Source organism: Homo sapiens, chromosome 16 (genome assembly GCF_000001405.40).
Source record: "Homo sapiens chromosome 16, GRCh38.p14 Primary Assembly".
NCBI classification, from domain to species: domain Eukaryota; kingdom Metazoa; phylum Chordata; class Mammalia; order Primates; family Hominidae; genus Homo; species Homo sapiens.
In genome coordinates, this window is record NC_000016.10 from 28393248 (window position 1) to 28416036 (window position 22789).

Consider the following 22789-nt stretch of genomic DNA (forward strand, 5'->3'; position numbering starts at 1 on the left):
CTGGCCAAGCACGGTGGCTCAAGCCTGTAATCCCAGCACTTTGGGAGGCCGAGGTGGGCGTATTGCTTGAGCCCAGGAGTTTGAGACCAGTCTGGGTGACAAGGTAAAAAGCCCGTCTCTATTAAAAACAACAACAACAACAACAACAACAACAACAAAAGCTTATGGATCTTTCCCCTGTACCACTGCAAGACTCTAATGATGACTCACTTTATAGGTAAAATCCTTTGCAAATATGCAAAGCATGTTCATTAAACTAAAACCTCTTGGTCCAAACCATCTGTATAGCTCTGAGATCAGAAGAACTAAAGCTATTTTTTAAAATGAATGCTTCAAAAGAACTTAAACTTCCTTGGCTAAAGTATTACTTCTAGCACTAAAGATAGTATGATACACACCTCAAAAGGGAAATGTACTATTGTATGAAATTCTAACTGAAAGACCTAAGACTTGGCTTGACCTCTCCTATGACAGATTATACTCTGGTATATTCATATCTTGTTAGAAATTATCAGATAACAAATGTTTATATCCTCAGCTATATAATCAACAGATAAAAGCAACATTTCTAAACGAGTATTACCTCTACTTAATACATAGTTAAGAGACTAAAAACTCATTATTGAGAGACACCAACGGAAGTCAGGCCTAACTACACTGCAGAGGACCACACCATTTTCCCATGCCTTCCCAACCACAACTACTGATGGAAAGCCCTAGATGTATACCCTTGCTTAGGATCCTAACTCGGACATTCAGTCTCACTAGAGATCCTGGGGTTCACTTAAAAAACAAAAACAAAAACAAAAAAACGCCTCCAGAATCAGGTAACTCTTAGAAGTAGACAGCAGCTCTGTAAGAGTTCACAGGTCGCTGGGCGCAGTGGCTCACGCCTGTAATCCCAGCACTTTGGGAAGCCGAGGCAGGCAATCAAGAGATAAGGAGATCGAGACCATCCTGGCTAACACGGCGAAACCCCGTCTCTACTAAAAATACAAAAAATTAGCCAGGCGTGGTGGCACGTGCCTGTAATCCCAGCTACTTGGGAGGCTGAGGAGAACTGCTTGAACCAGGGAGGCGGAGGTTGCAGTGAGATGAGATTGCACCACTGCACTCCAGCCTGGGCAACAGAGCAAGACTCCATCTAAAAAAAGAAAAAAAGAAAAAGAGTTCACAGGTCAATCATGACATCAGGTATAGATGAACTTCCCCCTAATACCTTCAGATCACCATAAGACAACAGATGGCCTTATCCCACATCAAAGAGGCTGAAGCTCATGAGAATAAACCCACTCCTTTACAAGCTTGTTTTGACCAAAAGATGAAGGCTGAGAAATGCTGATGATGGAAAGGGTATATTTAGACTGGCTGAATCTGGAGTTGCTGAAAACCCTTACTGGCAGAGGGCCTATCGTGTTTTCTAGAGCATCCACCAACCCTGGGTGGCATACTCAAGGAGAGTTAATATCAGAGTTTACACAGAAAAACGGGCAAACAGAATCCACTGTTCTGTGGTTTTGCCCTCTCTCCTTGTTCCTCTTTCTCCTATATAAATCCTGCTTTTGCTCGGTTGGAAATTAATCTGAAAATCTGTCTCCCTTGTTACACAAGTGAAATAGTGTCTGTGAATTATTCTTCTACACTACAAAGCCACAAACTCTCAATGTCAAAAAGATTCTGACACTTGAAATTCTAACTTTATTTTCTCAAGGGTTTTCCTCAGAACATTGATTCAACTAATTTTAGACTATTCTGATTAGGTATACAAGTTAGTTTACAGGTTAACAAAAAAAAATTTGGCTGGGTGCGGTGGTTCACGCCTGTAATTCCAGCACTTTGGGAGGCTGAGGTGGGCAGATCACGAGGTCAGGAGATCGAGACCATCCTGGCTAACACAGTGAAACCCCGTCTCTACTAAAAATACAAAAAAATTTAGCTGGGCATGGTGGCAGGTGCCTGTAGTCCCAGCTACTCAGGAGGCTGAGGCAGGAGAATGGCGTGAACCCGGGAGGCGGAGCTTGCAGTGAGCCGAGATTGCGCCACTCACTGCATTCTAGCCTCGGCAACAGGCTAGTGTCTCAAAAAAAAAAAAAAAAAAATTCAAGAATAACCTCTAAAAGCATAGCACGTCTAACTCCCAAACCAGCAGAAAAAAACAAAATGAATAATAAGAAAATATATATAACTAGAAACGGGGAAAAAAAAAAGAGGATGAGAAAATACATGTAGGCTAGGTGTGGTGGCTCATGCCTGTAATCCCAGTACTCTGGGAGGCTGAGGCGAGCGAATCATCTAAGGTCAGGAGTTCAAGACCAGCCTGGCCAACATGCTGAAACCTCATCTCTACTAAAAATATAAAAATTAGCTGGGCGTGGTGGTGCTCACGTGTAGTCCCAGCTACCCAGGAGGCTGAGGCCTGAGAATCACTTGAACCCAGGAGGCAGAGGTTGCAGTGGGCCAGGATTGCACCGCTGCATTCCAGCCGGGGCAACACAGTGAGACTCCTTCTCAAAAACAAAAACAAAAAACACACAAATAAAAGAAAAATAAAATACAGGCTGAATATCCCTTATCTGAAATGCTTAGAACCAGAAGTGTTTCAAATTTCAAATAATTGCATATATATAATGGGGTATCTTGGGAAGGGCTCCAAGTCTAACTATGAAATTTGTGTGTTTCATCTACACCTTATACAAACAGCCTGATGGCAATTTTACATAGTATTTTAAATAATTTTGTGCATGAAACAAAGTTTTGACTGCAACCTGTCACATGAGGTCAGATGTGGAATTGTCCACTTATGGTGCTCCAGAAGTTTCAGACTTTGGAATTAGAGATGCCCAATCTTTAGAAGACAGAATGAATTTCAAAATAATTATGATTAAAGAAACTACCCCCTCCAAATTATATACCGTTGATTCCATTTACATAAAATTCTAGAAAATGCTAACTTACCTAGTGACAGAAAGCAAATTAGTGGTTGCCCAGGGATAGGGTGAGGAAACTGAGGCAGGGAGAAGTATTACAAAGGGGAAGGTGGAAATGTTTAGGTGTGAAATTTTTAGGATATTATGTTTTGATTGTGGTGAGTTCTATGGGTGTAAACATATGTCACAACTTATTAAATTTAACTTTAAGGCTGGGTGCGGTGGCTCATGCCTGTAATCCCAGCACTTAGTGGAAGGCCGAGGCGGGTGGATCACGAGGTCAGGAGATCGAGACCATCCTGGCTAACATGGTGAAACCCTGTCTCTACTAAAAGTACAAAAAATTAGCCAGGCGTGGTGGCGGGTGGCTGTAGTCCCAGCTACTCAGGAGGCTGAGGCAGGAGAATGGTGTGAACCCGGGAGGTGGAGCTTGCAGTGAGCCGAGATTGCACCACTGCACTCCAGCCTGGGCGACAGTGCAAGACTCTGTCTCAAAAAAAAAAAAAAAAAAAAAAACTTTAAACAAGTGCAGTTATTGTATGTCATGTACACCTCAATAAAGCTATTACAAAATTTAAAATAAAGAGGATAAACAGAAAGTATAAGATACCATAAAATGGTAAGAATAAATGCATTGATAACCACAATAGGCTGGGCGCAGTGGCTCACGCCTGTAATCCCAGCACTTTAGGAGGCCCAGGCAGAAGGGTTACTCGAGCCCAGGAGTTCGAGACCATCCTGGGCAACAGGGCAAGACCCCATCTTGATAAAAACTAATTATGTAGACACATATATAAATAACCATCATATATATGTAAATAACTATAATAAACGTAAATGAACTAAATTGCCAGAGAAGCAGAGATCAAGTTCTGGCGGTCATTGCACAATGTGAACGTACTAAATGCCACTGATTTGTATACCTGAAAATGGTTAAAATGGGAAATGTTATGTATCACAATAAAAGAAAAAAAAAGCAGAGATTTTATGAGATTAAAAAAAAAACAAACCAAAAACCTAGCTGTGCTTAAGAGACACTCTTTTTTTTTTTTTTTTTTTTTTTTCCTGAGACGGAGTCTTGCTCTGTTGCCCAAAGCTGAAGTGCAATGGCGCGATCTCGGCACACTGCAACCTCCGCCTCCCGGGTTCAAGCAATTCTCCTGCCTTAGCCTCATGAGTAGCTGGGACTACAGGCGCAGGCCACCACACCGGGCTAATTTTTTTGTATTTTTAGTAGAGATGGGGTTTCGCCATGTTGGCCAGGCTGGTCTCGAACTCCTGACCTTGTGATTTGCCTGCCTCCGCCTCCCAAAGTGCTGGGATTACAGGCGTGAGCCACCACGCCCAGCCAAGAAACACTCTTAATCATACAGCATGGCAGAGTTAAAAATAAAAGGACAGGAAACGTCCTTTTCATAAACATCCTTTATCAGGTAGAGGGAAGCTCCCTTCTATTCCTAGCTTCAGTCTTTTATCATGAAAGAATATTAGGATTTTTTTCAAATGCTTTTTTTTGCATCTGCTGAGATGACTCTACGGCTTTTGTCTGTTATTCTATTGATATAGTATATTAGTTGATTTTCATATTAAAACATCCTTCTATTATTGGGATAAATCCTCCTTGTTATTAAATTTTTTTTTAAAACTTTTTTGGGAGATGAGCCCACCCATCCTCCATCCCCCTACAGGCAAGGAGGGGGTGCTCCCATATAATCCTTATTGTATGTTGCTGTGTTTGGTTTTCTACTATGTTGTTAAGAACTTTTGAGTCTGTATTTATAAAAGTATAGCTTTATAGTCTTAGAGTTTTTTTTGTTTTGTTTCGTTTTCTGAGACAGAGTCTTGCTCTGTCGCCCAGACTGGAGTGCAGTGGCACGATCTCGGCTCACTGCAACCTCTGCCTCCCAGTTCAAGCGATTCTCCTGCCTCAGCTTTCCGAGTAGCTGGGACTACAGGCGCCTGCCACCATGTCTGGCTAATTTTTTGTATTTTTAGTAGAGACTGGGTTTCACTGTGTTAGCCAGGATGGTCTCGATCTCCTGACTTCGTGATCTGCCCGCCTCGGCCTCCCAAAGTGCTGGGATTACAGGCGTAAGCCACCGTGCCCAGCCTTGATGTCTTAAGTTTAATTTTAGGCCCCATTTGCTCCCTCAGACAGGAGCCTTTGTGTAACACACATGTGCAGTGCACATCACACACCGGAGTCCACACAATGGGAGACTTCAATACACAATTATTCAAAGACAAAAACACAAAGTACAGTAGATATAAAAGACCTGAACCAATAGTAACGCTGATAGTTCTGTAAGATGTCAACAGGTTAAAAAAACGAGTTTCATGATCAAGCAAGTTTTTGAGATGGTTAATAAAACAAAGTTAGGTATATTTATTCTCATGGAACTTTCCAGAGGTGGTTGTAAACCCTCCAAGAAGGGGTGTGATAGACAATGTGGCCCAGACCTTGACCAGTGTTCCCTGAAGCACTGGACAAAAAAGGCCTTCTCAACAAAATGCCCACCAAGTAAGTTGTTCAGCCTCTCTAGACCTCTAGAGGGCTGGAAACTCACTACCTCCCTAAAGCAGCACGACCACAACTTTTAAACACAGGAAAGCAACCTTGAGAGCAATAATCTTCCCATTAAAAGGGTACTATTTGTCTGGGTGCAGTGGCTCACGCCTATAACCCCAGCACTTTGGGAGGCTGAGGCGGGAGGATCGCTTAAGCCCAGGAGTTCAAGATCAGCATGGGTAACATGGTGAAATCTTGTCTGTATTAAAAACACAAGAATTAGCCGGATGTACTGGAGTGTACCTGTAGTCCCAGCTACCCAGGAGCCTGAGGTGGGAAGATCACCTGAGCCCAAGAGGTTGTGGTTGCAGTGAGCCAAGATTGCATCACTACACTCCAGCCTGGGAAGAGTGAGACCCTGTCTCAAAAAAAGCACTTTTTATCTGTAGTTTGTGCAAACTGGCTAAGAAAAAATAAATAAAAGCACTATTTTTAGTGAGCTTGAGATTTCACTCCCATGGGATACAAAAGAGCAGGTATCACTTTTACTTCAAAGGGAGAAACTAAGACTTAAGGTCAAGTAACTTATACAATGTTGTACAGCTGATAAAGGCTGGGAGACAGAATCCACACTGGGATCCTCCCCTATTCTGACTGTCCCAGTAAAGGTCATGAACACTTGCGGCAGTCTGTATGCTGTATGTGTACTAAGAAGTTATCAGGAAGGGTAACACAGTAGCAACGCACACTGAGGGCTCACCACACGTCAGTCCTAGATGAACTACTTTCTTACATCACACCTCCCTGTATTCCTGCAGCTATTCTGGAAGGGAGGGTTCCCTGCCTTATTTTACAGATGAGAAAACTGAAGATTAGACAGGCTAAGTAGTTTGTCCAATGTCACACAGGTATCGGGTGCCAAAGTGAGATTTGCACCCAATCCACACGCAGTGAGTAAGGCTGTGGGTAAATATTTGGACTCTGGAGCCTTCAATTCTCATCTTTAGGACACATTAGCTTCGTGACTTTAGCCAACTAATGTACTTGACTCTCTGATCCTACTGTAAAATGCTAACAGTTGGCTGCTCCAACCTAAAAGGACTCCATGGAAGAATCAATAACCTTCCAGACAATTAAGAGCTTTCCACCAGTTCCAGTGTAACCCTAGGTCCCACTACTTTCCTTACTTTTTAAGAAATCTTGAGGCCAGCGCGGTTTGTTTCCCTTCTTCCTCCTCTGAGTCGGAATCGGAAGATGTGGAACCTGTGTCCCAGTCTTCATCATCTTCGGAATCTTCTGAGTCCTCATCTTCATCCTTAGAGGGAAGAAAAGAGGATCAGCAAGAAGACAGGGAGATTGACTGGTGTCTCCTCCTTACTAACGCATGTTCGAGATTTATTTACATGAGTAGAACAAGAGCAGCTACTCATGGAATCAAGATACCAAGGGCTGGGACTCACCATCAAGTCCCAGAGTGATGCTGCAATTTGGCCGCAGGAACACACACAGCTTCCCCTGGCAGAGCTGGGCCCAGATCCCTGTTTGCCCACTGCTCTGATGTAAGAGGAAGCTTGTTCTCAACTCCACTAAATTCCACCCCTCCCAACCCTAGGGGTTTGAGTCTTGTCTTTTTCCCCCAGGGACTCAGGAACTACCTCTGGCAGGAAATCATCCATCTAACCCTGGCTCTTACATCCATCTTTTTGAGGAACTTGCGACTCTCCCCAGAAGGAGCTTCTGATTTCTTCTTCAAGAAAGTTGCAGCACTGACTCCGTCCTCATCCTCATCCTCATCTGAAGAGCCTAGTGGTAATGGAGGGAGAAAAAGATCCTGAATGTTGAAAAGCCAGACTGGAGGGCAGCCAAGAAACCAGGCGAAGGGCAACACTAACTCTGGACTTCCTATTTGCAACAAAGGTTCTTTGGCTCACCTTCTGAATCCTCCTCATTTTTCTCAGCATCTTCATCCGCAGACTGCTCGGGGTTCTGGACAGAGAGGGAAGTGAGAGAACAATCATGGACGCTGTCCAGCCATCAGCCCACCCCACCCCTCCACCCCAGACAGTTCTGTCATCTTCCTGCTCCAGTCACACCTCCCACTAGCAATTCCATCTTTGGGCCTCAGTCACGGGGTCACTGTTCCCAGTTCAGTAAGTGTGCCTCTAGCCTCCCCACCTGCTTGTAGCTTGTGATATGGGACTCGAAATCACGGTTGTATTTTCGGATCTTCTGACGCAAGGTGCTCAGAGCCTTGGCATTGTTCTTGTTCATCTTCTTCTTCCCTTCCTTATCTTCCCAAAGCTAAAGGGAAGAAGAGGAAAGAAACAGAGAACAGTGATTTGAAACTAAGTAACATTTCCTAAACTCCAGGCTTCTTCTCCACTTTTGAGTCTTGCTATTGGAACACCACTGGTACTACTTATTAACTACATCTGTTAGCTTATTTTTAAAAGATCCTATACATCCCACCACTAAAAGTACAAAACCATGAATAAGTGGTGGTAATAAATATAGGCATCACACCTCATTAAGATAGTCCTCTAGGTCAGCCAGGATGCGGATATAGAACCGGGGGACACCTTCTTTGTCCACAATGCTTTTGGCCTTCCCATATGCTTTTCCCAGGAGCTCAAACTCTTCCAGGCACTTGGTGACATCACGAATCTTCATGGCATTACGGATGGTCCGGATAAGGTTGGTCAGCTCCTCAAACCTGGGTTGGGAGCCCGATACCACATTGAACGTGCCCACCGAGGGAAAACTCACCACTGCTCCCAGAGACTCCTATCACCCAGCCTCCCCACAGCTTCATTGCTCCCAGAGACTCCCATCACCCAGCCTCGCCATGGCTTTACCTCTTGTCCTTGGCACTGCGGACAACTCTCTTGGTATCTTCTTCATCCTCGCTCAGCAACAATGGCCTGTTTGGAAGGAACAGAGGCCATTAACCTCCTTTCCCAGTCTTTCCAAGAGATCCGTATTTCCCTACTCAGGACAGGTAGAACTAAGTAATCCAGGCCATCCACACCACACCCATCCTCTTTTTGACTCCTCCTCAGGGCCACTTCATATACAACTCAATCTTTTAAGTGTACACTAAGTAAGGCCTTTTGCTCAGTGTTGTAGCAACACAAAGATGACATTCACTATCCTCTCAAAAACAAATGAAAGTGCTAATTTACTGTGTAACTAATGACATAGAGACACAAGTCACCACAGAAGTAATGAATAAAAAAAGAGGTAGAGAAAAATGATACTTGAGCTATAATGAACAGAAAAGGCTTTAGGGAGGTGGTACCTAAACTAGATCTTAGCAACATTTCCCAAAGTATGAGAGGCCAACAGCAAGGAGAAAGTCTCAATGGTATTAACACCTCCACTGCTAGTATTTTTCTACGATAATAAGACCAGACCACAGGCTCACAGTCAGCAACAGTATCTCTACTCTTTTTGTTTGTTAAGAGATAAGGTCTCACTATGTTGCCCAGGCAGCCTCCAACTCCTGAGTTTCAAGGGATCCTCCCACCTCAGCCTCCAGAGTAGTTGGGACTACAGGCATGCACCATCTTGCCTGCCTCTTTTCCCTTTTTATTATTTTTTGGATTATTTTAGCGGTGTTTTTTGAGGTGGAGTTTTGCTTTTATCGCCCAGGCTGCAGTGCAATGGCGCAATCTCGGCTCACTACAACCTCCGCCTCCAAGGTTCAAGAGATTCTCCTGCCTCAGCCTCCTAAGTTGCTGGGGTTACAGGCATGTGCCACCACAACCGGCTAATTTTTGTATTTTTAGTAGAGACGGGGTTTCACCTTATTGGCCATGCTGGTCTCAAACTCCTGACCTCAAGTAATCAGCCTCCCAAAGTGCTGGGATTACCGGCTTGAGCCACCTGCCCAGCCTGGATTATTTGGTATTTTATGGCAAATGACACTGGTTTCCACCTGTGGAAGTGATACGAAACCATATGCATATTGGCATATACATGTGCAATACATACTTTTAAAACAGTAGCACAAACGTGGCAGATGTTTAAGAAACACCATTCCAGTGGGGCACAGTGGCTCATTCCTGTAACCCCAACACTTTAGAATGCTGGGCGGGAGGTTCACTTGAGCCCAGGAGTTCAGAACCAGTCTAAGCAACACAGTGAGACACCTTCTCTACAAAAAATTAAAAACAATTAGCCTGCTGCGATGGCGTGCACCTGTAGTCCCATCTACTTGAGAGGCTGAGGTGGGAGGATCGCTTGAGATCTGAAGGTCGAGGCAGCAGTGAGCTATGACCCCTCAAAAAAAGAAAAAAAAAAGGAAAAAGAAAAACCATTCTATTGTTCCAAAGGGTAAAAAAAAAAAAATTAATGTACAGAAATGGCGGATGGGTATTTACGTAGAGGTGAACAGGCATATAAAATGTTTAAGCACCTGCGTACACAGCAGGTGACCAGACTTCAGAGTCGCATCAGGGGGCTCCCAGATACCAATCAAGCATTTTGCATTTCCTTCTGTGAGCAGTGAGAAGTCACTAAGGACTTCTCGGCGGTAAAATGAGAGGAGACAGGTAGAGGCTGTAGACTTAAGGCCAGTTAAGAAGCTGATGCAACAGATCTGGCTTGGGAAACCTCTGTGATTCTATCCCTTGTGCCTGGTGGGTGGCTACCGGCTATCACAGCCCTCTAAGGCTGTCTCTCTCCAACACCGCTCCGATCCTGCAAACTCTGGTCATTGTCCAAACCCACTCTCCCCGCCCTCACCTCCATCCCCTCCCATGTGCACTGCGTTCCACAGCCTGCCTAACCCCGCACTCCCAGAATGGTCACAGCCACAGCCCCCGCAACTCACTGTTTGCCATAGTTGCCTCCGACAGGTTTGGTGACGAGCTCCTCCCCGGACAAGGACGACTCGGACTCGCTGTCCGAACCGGTGGTGAAAAACCGCGACATGGCGACGGCGCGGAGGTGCTACGGCCGGACCTGCGGGGGAGCCAAGGCGTCACCGGCCACGCGAAGAGGCCCGAGCCAACACCTCCCGACGCCCAACCCCTCACCGGCCCCACCCGGACCTCGACCTGGGTCTCCCACCACGAAGCACGAGGCCCAAAAAATACCAACCAGCTGAGCCCGCGAGTCACACCGCAGGGCCCTGACAGCGGAAACGCCGAGAGAGAAGGCGGGTCCTCGCGTCACTTCCGGGAAGCGCCGACTAACTACACTGGGAGACTACAACTCCCAGTGGCCTTCGCGCCATAAGGGGGCGGGGACAAGCCTGAGGGAACCGGGCGCTGAGACCTTGGCTGCAGGCGTCGCGAATCCTACCGCGCGTTGGTGTCGGGATTTAAAACACGAAGATCGGCGGGGCGCAGTGGCTCACGCGTGTAATTACAGCATTAATAGGCATTAATAGTATAGAAGTAGATAATCCTGCCGGGTGCGGTGGCTCACTCACGCCTGTAATCCTAGCACTTTGGGAGACCGAGGCAGGCGGATTACCCGAGGTCGGGAGTTCGAGACCAGCCTGACCAATATGGAGAAACCCCATCTCTACTAAAAATACAAAATTAGCCAGGCGTGGTGGTGCATGCCTGTAAGCCAAGCTACTCGGGAGGCTGAGGCAGGAGAATCGCTTGAACCCGGGAGGCGGAGGTTGTGGTGAGCCGAGATCGAGCCACTGGACTCCAGCCTGGACAACAAAAGCGAAACTCCATCTCAAAAAAAAAAAAGTAGACAATGCTAGCCAGGCACAGTGGCTCACTCCTGTAATTCCAACACTCTGGGAGGCTGAGGTGGGTGGATCACCTGAGGTCAGGAGTTCGAGACCAGCCTGGCCAATATGGCAAAACCCCGTGTCTACTAAAAAATACGAAAATTAGCCTGGCACAGTGTCACCTGCCTGTAATCCCAGCTACGTGGGAGGCTGAGGCTGGAGAATCACTTGAACCCAGGAGGAAGAGATTGCAGTGAGCAGAGATCACACCACTGCATTCCAGCCTGGGTGACAGAGCAAGACTCTGTCTCAAAAAAAAAAAAAAAAAAAAAAAAAGTAGACGATGCTAGATCTTGCAGGTCTTTATAGGCCTGTGGTTTGGAGCCGCCATCGGCAGAGGTTTTAGTGCAAGGGACTGTGTTACATTTTTCAAGGTGGTTTTGATATGGGAGCGGGACAGGGAAGTGCTGGGAAGGGAAGAGCATGCTCTTCCAAAGTGCTGGGATTATAGGCATGAGCTACCACACCTGGCCGTTTTGTTTTTTATTGTGAAATATTTCAACAGACAAGAATAAAGACTATTCCAATGGACATCTATGTACTCACAACCCACCCAGCACCGTCAAAACTTAATATGAGGCTGGGCATGGTGGTTCATGCCTGTAATCCCAACACTTTGGGAGGCAGAGGTGGGCAGATCACTTGAGGTCAGGAATTCGAGACCAGCCTGGCCAACATGGTGAAACCCCATCTCTACTAAAAATACAAAAATTCGCCTGGCATAGTGGCAGATGCCTGTAATTCCAGCTACTCAGGAGGCTGAGGCAGGAGAATTGCTTGAACCCTGAAGGTGGAGGTTGCAGTGAGCCAAGATCGTGCCACTGCACTCCAGCCTGAGCGACAGAGCAAGACTCTGTCTCCAAAAAAAAAAAGTTAAAAAAAAAAACCAAGGGGTTCATTGTACGTCTGTAAATCCATAAATATCTTTTTTTTTTTTTTTTTTGAGATGGAGTTTTGCTCTTGTTGCCCAGGCTGGAGTGCAATGGTATGATCTTGGCTCACTTCAACCTCCGCCTCCCAGTTTCAAGCAATTCTCCTGCCTCAGCCTCCCAAGTAGCTGGGATTTACAGACGTGCACCACCACATCCAGCTAATTTTTGTATTTGTAATAGAGAAGGGGTTTCACCATGTTGTCCAAGCTGGTCTCGAACTCCTGACCTCAGGTGATCCACCCGCCTCGGCCTCCCAAAATGCTGGGATTACAGGCGTGAGCCACCACGCCCAGCTCTCTTTATTTTAAATAATATGTGTACATTTTTACAAAATGAAAATGGTACAACAGAATACACAGGAAGAAAAAATATACAGGAAAAAATGTTTCCTTCCTGCCCTGACCTCATGTTCATCAGCTTTTCTCTCTAGAAGCAAACACAATTGTCAGTTTATAGCGTTATCTTCCAGATGTCACTTTGTGCCCTCTCTCTCCGTATCTCTCTTTGTGTATACACACACACACACACACATACACACACACACACAGAGTTGACTCTTGAAGAATGTGTAGGTCTACGTATATGTGGATTTTATTCAATAAATACAGTCAATCCTCCATACAGGTGGGTTCCACATCTGGAACGAAATGTCAATCAAAAATAACAGTATTCACTGGATTTGAAACCCATGTATACCAAGGGCCCAAATTTTGTAACTACAGGTTCCACAGGGGCAACTGCGGGACTTGAGTATGTACAGGTTTTGGTATCTCCCAGGAATCCTAGAACCAATCCCTTGAGGATACCAAGAAATGACTAGATAGAGACAGAAAGGATATAGATAGATGTATTGTATGTGTGTATGTATATATATATGTGTGTGTGTATATATATATATTCAATATATGTATATGAATTATATAGATCAGGGTATGTGTGTGTGTGTGTGTGCGTCTACCTGGAACATATCTGTCTCTACCATTGTTTCCTGCATCTTATTTCATTATTCATCATATATCTTGCAGCTCATTCTGTATCAGTGCATATGGCTCTGTCTCATTCTCTTTTTTTTTGTTTGGTTTTTGAGACAGAGTCTTGCTCTGTCGCCTAGGCTGGACATAATCTTGGCTCACTGCAACCTCCGCCTCCTAGGTTCAAGCGATACTTCTGCCTCAGCCTCCTGAGTAGCTGGGATCACAGGTGCCTGCCACCACACCTAATTTTTGTACTTTTAGTAGAGATGAGATCTCACCATGTTGGCCAGGCTGGCCTTGAACTCCTGACCTCAAGTGGTCCGCCTGCCTTTGCTTCCCAAAGTGCTGGGATTAAAGGCATGAGCCACCACACCCAGCCTGATTGCCTTTTAAAAGTATTCATAATAGGCTGGGTGTGGTGGCTCACACCCGTAATTCCAGCACATTGGGAGGCTGAGGTGGGTGGATCACCTGAGGTCAGGAGTTCGAGACCAGCTCGACTAACAATGGTGAAACCCCATCTCTGCTAAAAATACAAAATTAGCTGGGTGTAGTGGCACATGCCTGTAATCCCAACTACTTGGGAGGCTGAGGCAGGATAATTGCTTGAACCCAGGAGGTGGAGGTTGCAGTGAGCCGAGATCACGCCATTGCACTCCAGCCTGGGCAACAAGAGTAAAACTCCATTTAAAAAAAAAAAAAAAAGCATAATAACCCCAGAAGGCAGGCCACACTGTTCCACTTTAGAGAGGAGAATGTTGATGTCCTAAAAGGTCAAGTGACCTGTCTAAGGTCAAATCGATAGTTTGCATTCCAACCCAAACATTATTCCACAGCTATCTAAACTGTTGAGAGATGTGTTGTTTTAGAGCCAGACTCCAACAATTTTTGAGTGAATTCAACTTAGTCTTTTTTTTTTCTTTTCGAGACGGAGTCTTGCTCCATCACCTAGGCTGGAGTGCAGTGGCGCGATCTTGGCTCACTGCAAGCTCCACCTCCCGGGTTCATGCCATTCTCCTGCCTCAGCCTCCCGAGTAGCTGGGACTACAGGCAACTGCCACCACGCCCAGCTAATTTTTTGTATTTTTAGTAGAGATGGGGTTTCACCGTGTTAGCCAGGATGGTCTTGATCTCCTGACCTTGTGATCCGCCCACCTCAGCCTCCCAAAGTGCTGGGATTACAGGTGTGAGCCACCGCGCCCGGCCTTTTTTTTCTTTTTTCTTTTTTCTTTTTTCTTTTTTTGCAATTTCTGCTGCCCAGGCTGAAGTGCAGTGGTGTGATTACGGCTCACTGCAGCCTCAAACTCCTGGCCTCAAGCGATCCTCCCACTTCAGCCTCCTGAGTAGCTGAGACAACAGGCACACACCACTACACCCAATTAATATTTTTACTTTTTGTAGAGATGGAGTCTCACTATATTGCCCAGGCTGATCTTGAACTCCTGGCCTTAAGCAATTCTCTAGCATTGGCCTCCCAAAGCTCTGAGATTACAAGACTAAGCCACTGTGCTTGGCCTCAACTTCATTTTGTAAATAGGAAAAATGGGAATGAAGGCAGCTGACTTAAAGAAATCCTAGGTCGGGCATGGTGACTCACACCTGTAATCCCAGCACTTTGGGAGGCCGAGGCGGGTGGATCACCTGAGGTCAGGAGCTCGAGACCAGCCTAGTTGACACCGTGAAACCCCACCTCTACTAAAAATGCAAAAATTAGCCGGGCATGGTGGTGCACGCCTGTAATCCCAGCTACTTGGGAGGCTGAGGCAGGGGAATCGCTTGAACCCAGGAGGCAGAGGTTGCAGTGAGCCAAGATCTTGCCACTGCACTCCAGCCTGGGCGACAGAGCAAGACCTTGTCGCCAAAAAAAAAAAAAAAAAAAAAAAAAAAAAAAAAGGGAAAGAAAACCTAGTAATTTACCTAATAATTTCTTCCTTTATGAGTGTAGTAGGCTCTGTGACTGGAGACAAACGTAACATGGGTGTATTTAATAGGTGAATTTTGTTAATACCCAGATTCTGATGGGGTCCTTAATGGTCCCAGAGTGGGAACGACACCCTGGAAGAGCTTTGATCAGTCTGGTGTCTCCAGTTCATGTGGGCGTACGTATTTCTCACAGCAGATTGACTCTCTTCATGTGCCTGTAATAACACAGCCAGCAAGCAGGAAGATGATAACCATAACTGGCATTTGAATAACAATTTCAAATGCATAGAGGTGCTTGAAACTCATGAAAACTTATAGGTGGGCAGGAAAAGCAGCTATTACTAACCTCATTTTACAAATGAGAAAAGCAGGACTCTGCAGTGCGGGGGAGGGCTCTGTTGTGACAGCATGAGATTCTGAAACCAGGTCCTCTAACTCGCAGGTCACAGAAGACGCTTCCAAGTATATTATTTTATTGCAGAAGGGGAATGAACTGAGCGGAAGGAGAGGACAGAGCGTGGGAAAAGGGGAGGGAGTGCCATGGGAACCCCTCTGTGGGACAAAATGCTGGGTACCACACTCCCCCTCACTCACGCAACTCCAGCCACTGATATCCCCCCTTTTTCTTTTATTTTTTCCTTTTCTTTCTTTTTTTAATCTTAAAAATTATTATTATTACTATTTGAGAGAGGGTGTCACTCTGTCACCCAGACTGGAGTGCAGTGGTGTGATCATAGGTCACTGCAGCATCAAACTCCTGAGCTCAAGTGATCCTCCCATATCAGCCTCCCGAGTTGGGACTACAGGTGCACGCCACCACGTTGGACTGTTATTTATGTATTTATTTTGAGACAGGGTCTTGCTCTTTCACCCAGGCTGGAGTGCAGTGATACAATCATTGTCCTGGAACTACAGGCGCCCGTCACCACACGAGACTTATTTATTTTTATTTTTTATTTTTTGAGATAGAGTTTTGCTCTGTTGCCCAGGCTGGAGTGCAGTGGTGTGATCTCGGCTCACTGCACCCTCCACCTCCTGGGTTCAAACGATTCTCCTGCCTCAGCCTTGTGAGTAGCTGGAATTACAGGCATGCACCACCACATCCAACTAATTTTTGTATTTTTAGTAGAGACAGAGTTTCACCATGTTGGTCAGGCTGGTCTTGAACTCCTGACCTCAAGTGATCCACCCACCTTGGCCTCCCAAAGTGCTGGGATTACAGGCGTGAGCCACCGTGCCTGGCTGAGATTCATTTTTTAAATTTTTTTAGAGATGGATTCTCGCTATGTTGTCCAGGCTGGTCTCAAACTCCTGGGCTCAAGTAATCCTCCTGCCTTGGCCTCCCAAAGTGTTGGAATTACAGGTGTGAGCCAATGTGCCTGGCTTCAATATCCCCTTTCTAAAATAAATGTCTCAAAAGACTTTGAAATTCAGGCTGGGCATAGTGGCTCATGCCTGTAATCCCAGCACTTTGGGAGGCCGAGGTGGGAGGATCACGAGGTCAAGAGATAGAGACCATCCTGGCCAACATGGTGAAACCCCAACTCTACTAAAAATACAAAAATTAGCTGGGAATGGTAGCGCGTGCCTGTAGTCTCAGCTACTCGGGAGGCTGAGGCAGGAGAATCGCTTGAACCTGGGAGGCGGAGGTTGCAGTGAGCCGAGATCACGCCACTACACTCCAGCCTGGCGACAGAGCGAGACTCCATTTCAAAAAAAAAAAAAAAAAGAAAAGTCAAGACTATGAAATTCACAGATAATATAACTTTCTGATACACACAATTTTATTGTATTTTGCTTTGTGTTTAATTTTCTCAAATAGACCTCAAGTACCTTGAAGACAGGAATGTCTTAGTATCCCCTCAGTGCATTTCACATAGTACATGTTCAATGATATGTTTCTATTATTATTATAAATTTTTCGTTTGGAAACAGAGCCTTGCTGTGTCGCCCAGGTGTGAGTGCAGTGGCACGATTTCTGCTCACTGCAACCTCCGCCTCCAAGGCTCAAGCAATTTTCCTGTCTCAGCCACTGGAGTAGCTGGGATTACAGGCATGCACCACCACACCCAACTAATTTTTATATTTTTAGTAGAGACAGGGTTTCACCATGTTGGCCACGCTGGTCTCAAACTCCTAGCCTCAAGTGATCTGCCTGCCTCGGCCTCCCAGGATGCTGGGATTACAGGCATAAGCCACCACACTCTGCCTATTATTGTAATTATTAAAAGACAACATACATATAGCTAAATGAATCAGCTGCACTAATCAATCACTGGTTTGGTGTCTATCATCATCTATTAGTTTTGCCTGTTTTTTGATTTTTTTTTACTAGAGACAAGATCTCACTCTCTTGCCCAGGCTGGTGTGCAATTGCAAGATCCCAGCTCACTGCAGCAGCCTTGAACTCCTGGGTTTAAGGGATCCTCCTGTCTCAGCCTCCCAAGTAGCCGGGACCACAGGTGTACACCACCGAGTTCAGCTAATGTTTTTTGTGGGGTTTTTGTTTTTTGTAGAGACGGGGGGGGCCTCACTATGTTCCCAGGCTGGTCTCGAACTCCTGGCCTCAAGCAATCATCCTGCCTCAGCCTCCCAAAGCATGGGATTACAAGCATGAGCCACCACGCCTGGCCAGTTTTGCCGGTTCTTGAGCTTCATATAAATAGAATCATAAGGCATATCCTTTTTTGTACCTGGCTTCTATTGTTGACCATAATACTTATTATGAGATTCATCCGTGTTAAGTGCACCAGTATGGTAGGACATTCTTTTTTGTTTGTTTGTTTGTTTTTTGAGATGGAGTTTTGCTTTTGTTGTCCAGGCTGGAGTGCAATGGCGCAATCTTGGCTCACCGCAACCTCTGCCTCCCGGGTTTAAGCGATTCTCCTGCCTCAGCCTCATGAGTAGCTGGGATTACAGGCATGCACCACCACACCTAGCTAATTTTACAATTTTAGTAGAGACTGGTTTTCTCCATGTTGGTCAGGTTGGTCTCGAACTACTGACCTCCGGTGATCTGCCCACCTTGGCCTCCCAAAGTGCTGGAATTACAGGCGTAAGTCACCGCGCCCAGCCCAGTCATTCTTTTTAAATTCCTGAATGGTTTTCAATTGAATGACGATCGATACCACAATGTATTCATTCTCCTGTAGATTTTTTTTTTTTTGATGGAGTCTCATTGTGTCCTCCATGATGAAGTGCAGTGGCATGATCTTGGCTCACTGCAACCTCCGCCTCCCAGGTTCAAGAGGTTCTCGTGCCTCAGCCTCCCAATTAGCTTAGATTACAGGCGTGCATCATCACACCTGGCTAATTTTTGTATTTTTAGTAGAGATGGGGTTTCACCATGTTTAGTAGAGACCAGGCCAGGCTGGTCTGGAAATCCTGACCTCAGGTGATCCTCCCACCTTGGCTTCCCAAAGTGCTAGGATTACAGGTGTGAGCCACCATACCTGGCCATATTATAAATAAAGCTTGTATCAACATTTTTTTCAATATTTACATCATATGTTTTAAATTTTTATTATTAGGTACAGAGTAGTTTTTGTTATACATCCCTGTTAAATTGAATATTTTATTTTATTTTTTATTTATTTTTTGAGATGGAGTCTCACTCTGTCACCCAGGCTGGAGTGCACTGGCACAATCTCGGCTCACTGTAACCTCCACCCCCAAGGTTCAAGTGATTCTCCTGCCTCAGCCTTCCAAGTAGCTTGGATTACAGGAACGTGGCACCACACCCAGCTAATTTTTGTATTTTTTAGTAGAGACGGGGTTTCGCCATGTTGGACAGGCTGGGACTATTTTATTATTATGAGATGACACTCTTTATCTGCAGTAATACTTTTTGTGAGTCTATTTTTTCTGATACTAATATAGCTTTCCAACTTCATTTTAGTTGGTTTTGGCCTGATGTATTTTTTTATTAATTGCTTTTCAATATTTCTGTATAATAATGATATTTATATACATCTTGAAATAGCATATAGCTAGTAGCTAGTTTTTTTTTTTTTTTTTTTTTTTGAGATGGAGTTTCACTCTTGTTGCCCAGGCTGGAGTGCAATGGTGCAGCTCGCTGCAACCTTTGCCTCCCAGGTTCAAGCGATTCTCCTGCCTCAGCCTCCCAAGTAGCTGGGATTACAGGCACACACCATCATGCTAAGCTAATTTTTGTATCTTTAGTAGAGACAGGGTTTCACCATGTTGGCCAGGCTGGAATCGAACTCCTGATCTCAAGTGATCTGAGTGCCTCAGCCTCCCAAAGTGGTGAAATTACAGGCATGAGATACTGTACCTGGCCTATACTTAGCATTTTTATACTTAGAATCATGGTGACTGAGGCACTGCAGTGCAGCTGGTAAGCAATGGATTTTAATGTGTGTGTTGCCTTCAGTAAAGGAATTGTCCAAGTACAGCTCTTGGTAAAGATCCCAACGAAGCAAAATACATCTTCCTTCAATGACCTGAGATTTTAGTCAGCTCAGGCTGCTATAACAAAATACCATAAACAGGGTGGCTTAAAAAACAATATTTATTTTTCACAGTTCTGGAGGCTGGGAAGTCCAAGATTAAGGTGCTGGCAAAACCGATTTGGTGTCTGGTGAGGGCTCTGTTTCTGGTTTGCTCACAGCTGCCTTCTTGCTGTATCCCCACTTGGTGGAGAAAGAGATTGCTTGTCTCGTTCTCTTTCTGTGAGGGCATTAATACCATCATGAAGTCTCCCACCCTCATGACGTAATCTAGCCCCAATTACCTTCCAAGGGCCTCACCTTCTCACCTTCAAATGCTATGACATTGGGGATTAGGGCTTCAACATATGCATTTGGCAGGAGAACACAAACATTTAGTTCATACTAATACACGATAGTCGAATTCTTGAAAAATTCAGTGTATATTAAAACCAAGCAAGAAATACTTTGGGTTTAGGCTGGGCGCAGTGGCTCATGCCTGTAATCCCAGCACTTTGGGAGGCTGAGGCGGGCAGATTACCTGAGGTCAGGAGTTCGAGACCAGCCTGGCCAACATGGCGAAACCCTGTCTCTACTAAAAATACAAAAATTAGCTAGGTTTGGTGGTGCATGCCTGTAATCCCAGCTATTCAAGAGGCAGAGGCAGGAGAATCGCTTGAAGCTGGGAGGCGGAGGTTGCAGTGAGCTGAGATCGCGCCACTGCACTCCAGCTTGAGTGACCAAGCAAGACTCTCTATCTAAAACAAAACAAAACAAGCGACTTTGGGTTCATATGTAAAATGAAGTTAGATTCTTAGCACATATTGTTGGATGTCTGGCGGGGATATTAAAAAAACCACTCAAACGTAGAAGAATCTCTCTTCATCCAGGACCATACTGTGCATGGCAGGATGGCTTTGCTCTCTCCCTCTAAGGACATTGTCACATTCACAGTGAGATCAAAGCCCCCACAAACAAGCTTCCAAAATGGCCCTAGGGGGCAGTACTACCTCACTGAGAACCACTGTTCAGGGAGTTAGCTGGGTCGCAGAGGCAAAATGTTGGACTACAGCGTGTGGGGCCACACTGAGCGATGATGAAGAGGAGAGGCATCCCAACACCCACCGGGCTAACCTCTTCCGCTGGCAGCACCAAGCCCGGGTGGAGCTCATGGAGCAGTTCCAGAAGGAGAAGGAGGAACTGGACAGGGGCTGCTGGGAGTACAAGTGCAAGATGGCCGAGTGCCAGAGGAAGCTGAAGGAGCTGGAGGTGTCAGAGGGTGCCAGGGTGGAGGTGGAGTGGCTACACGAGGAGCTGAGCTGGGAGCAAAAGCTGGAGGAGATGCCCAAGAAAAAGAGCATGACCTGGAACGTGGACACGCTCAGCAAAAGCAGTTTCAGGCTGGGTGCGGTGGCTCACACCTGTAATCCCAGCACTTTGGGAGGCTGATGCGGGGCGATCACTTGAGGTCAGGAGTTTGAGACCAGCCTGACCAACATGGCGAAACCTCGTCTCTACAAAAATACAAAAAGTAGCTGAGCGTGGTGGTGGGCGCCTGTAATCCCAGCTGCTCGGGAGGCTGAGGCAGGAGAATCGCTTGAACCCGGGAGGCGGAGGCTGCAGTGAGCCAAGATCATGCCATTGCACACCAGCCTGGGCGACAGAGCAAGACTCCGTCTCAAAAAAAAAAAGAAAAGACGGCTTTAGCAGGAGCATGGTGAACACCAAGCCTGATGAGAAGATGGTCAACTACCTGGTCATCTGGTGTGCTGATCTAGAGGTGCAGGAGAAATGCGCCCTCATGGAGCAGGTGGTCCACTAGGCAATTGTCACGCAGTTCAACCTGGTGTTGGTCAGGAGCCGGAAGGGGTCCCCCGGGTCTGCTTCTGGCAGTTCTTCACTGAGATTCAGACGGCTGACTGCTAGTGCATGGAGAGCTTCAAGGACGAGCTGGAAGCCTCCACGGAGCCTGTGTGGGGCTGCGCCAAGCTGCGCGTCTAGAAAGCAGGTGGTGCAGGAGTACTAGGAGGAGGAGCTCAAGAAGCAGCTTGGCCCTGGTGGCCTGGAACCCGTGGAGGTGACGAGTTCCCCCTGAGGAACTCCAAAAGGGCTTCAATGCGAAGGACGCGCAAATGCAGCAAGATGGACCCCACCAAGGCCAAGTTCCCCATGCAACAGTGTATCGACGCCGGCCTCCGGGTCCCCAACTCTGAGGTCAGCGAGGCCAAGGAGGGAGAGGAGGAGTGTTCAGGGACCGGCTGCTGGAAGCTGTTCCCAAGACAGGCGGGGATGTCAGTGCGTGACCCACCCCAGCTGCAGCTGCCACCTGTGTGCAAGCCCCTAGGCGCCCCTTTTCAGAAAACAAAAATAGACACCATCTCCCCAGCTCCTGGCTTCCTCCACTTCCGCTGCTCCCCCTAGCCCTGGGGGCCTGCCAGGCCTTCCCTGCCCTCTCCCCCTCCCCGCCCTCTCCACTGTCCCCACTCTCCAGCACCCATTCAAGTCTCTGCTTTGAGTCAAGGGACTTCACTGCCCACAGCGCCCCATCAGCATCATGCCAAAGGCCCAGGGGCCCGGGGAGGGGCAGAGGTCGCCAGGCTGGTCCGCCAGGTAGAGGGGAGGGTCCCCAGCCACTAGGTGGCTCAGGTCACCGGGTTCTGTTTCCACTGTTCATCTGCTGTCTGTGTCTTCTATTTGGCAAACAGCAATGATGTTCTAAAAAGGATTTTAGATATTAAAAGAAAAAAAAAGAGGCTGGATGAGGTGGCTCACACCCGTAATCCCAGCACGCTGGGAGGCTGAGGAGGGTGGATCACTTGAGGTCAGAAGTTGAAGACCAGCCTGGCCAACATGGTGAAACCCCATCTCTACTAAAAATACAAAAATTAGCCGGGCATGGTGGCACCTGCCTGTAGTCCCAGATACTTGGTAGGCTGAGGCAGGAGAATCACTTGAACCTGGAAGATGGAGTTTGCAGTGAGCTGAGATAGTGCCACTGCACTCCAGTCTGAGCAACAGAGCGAGACTCCGTCTCCAAAAAAAAAAAGTTGGAGGATTCACATTTCCTATTTTCATGCCCTCTCCCTCTCCCTCTCCCTCTTCCTCTCCCTCTCCCTCTCCCTCTCCCTCTCCCTCTCCGTCTCCGTCTCCATCTCCGTCTCCCTCTCCCCACGGTCTCCCTCTCATGCGGAGCCGAAGCTGGACTGTAGTGCTGCCATCTCGGCTCACTGCAACCTCCCTGCCTGATTCTCCTGCCTCAGCCTGCCGAGTGCCTGCGATTGCAGGCACGCGCCGCCACGCCTGACTGGTTTTGGTGGAGAC

At 46.5% G+C, this 22789-nt stretch overlaps 1 protein-coding gene and 1 pseudogene across 6 annotated transcripts in view, besides 1 other annotated feature; one reads left to right on the forward strand and one right to left on the reverse strand.

Moving 5' to 3' along the window:
• The window catches only part of EIF3CL (eukaryotic translation initiation factor 3 subunit C like), a 46838-nt gene that overhangs the window by 13667 nt on the left and 10382 nt on the right, over positions 1-22789 (reverse strand). For 2 of the 6 annotated variants that reach the window (NM_001317857.2, XM_017023620.3), the window contains exons 1-8: positions 10540-10594; positions 10271-10401; positions 8292-8357; positions 7960-8149; positions 7612-7737; positions 7368-7422; positions 7130-7239; positions 6624-6751 (exon numbers count right to left, since the gene is read on the reverse strand). In NM_001317857.2, coding sequence (NP_001304786.1) covers positions 6624-6751; positions 7130-7239; positions 7368-7422; positions 7612-7737; positions 7960-8149; positions 8292-8357; positions 10271-10371 — 776 coding nt within the window. In that variant the 5' untranslated portion in view covers positions 10372-10401; positions 10540-10594. Of the gene's footprint in view, positions 1-1026; positions 1045-6623; positions 6752-7129; positions 7240-7367; positions 7423-7611; positions 7738-7959; positions 8150-8291; positions 8358-10270; positions 10402-10490; positions 10639-22789 lie in introns of those variants that run through there. The other 4 variants (NM_001099661.2, NM_001317856.1, XM_047434558.1 and 1 more) reach the window with 4 other exon arrangements.
• Positions 10421-10921: an enhancer, noted in NCBI's record as "H3K27ac hESC enhancer chr16:28414989-28415489 (GRCh37/hg19 assembly coordinates)". NCBI's record gives its function as "activates a minimal SCP1, AML or CMV promoter by ChIP-STARR-seq in naive H9 embryonic stem cells {active_cell/tissue: H9 hESC(naive)}" and the evidence as "EXISTENCE:reporter gene assay evidence [ECO:0000049][PMID:30033119]".
• CDC37P2 (cell division cycle 37 pseudogene 2) lies at positions 20501-20868 on the forward strand (annotated as a pseudogene).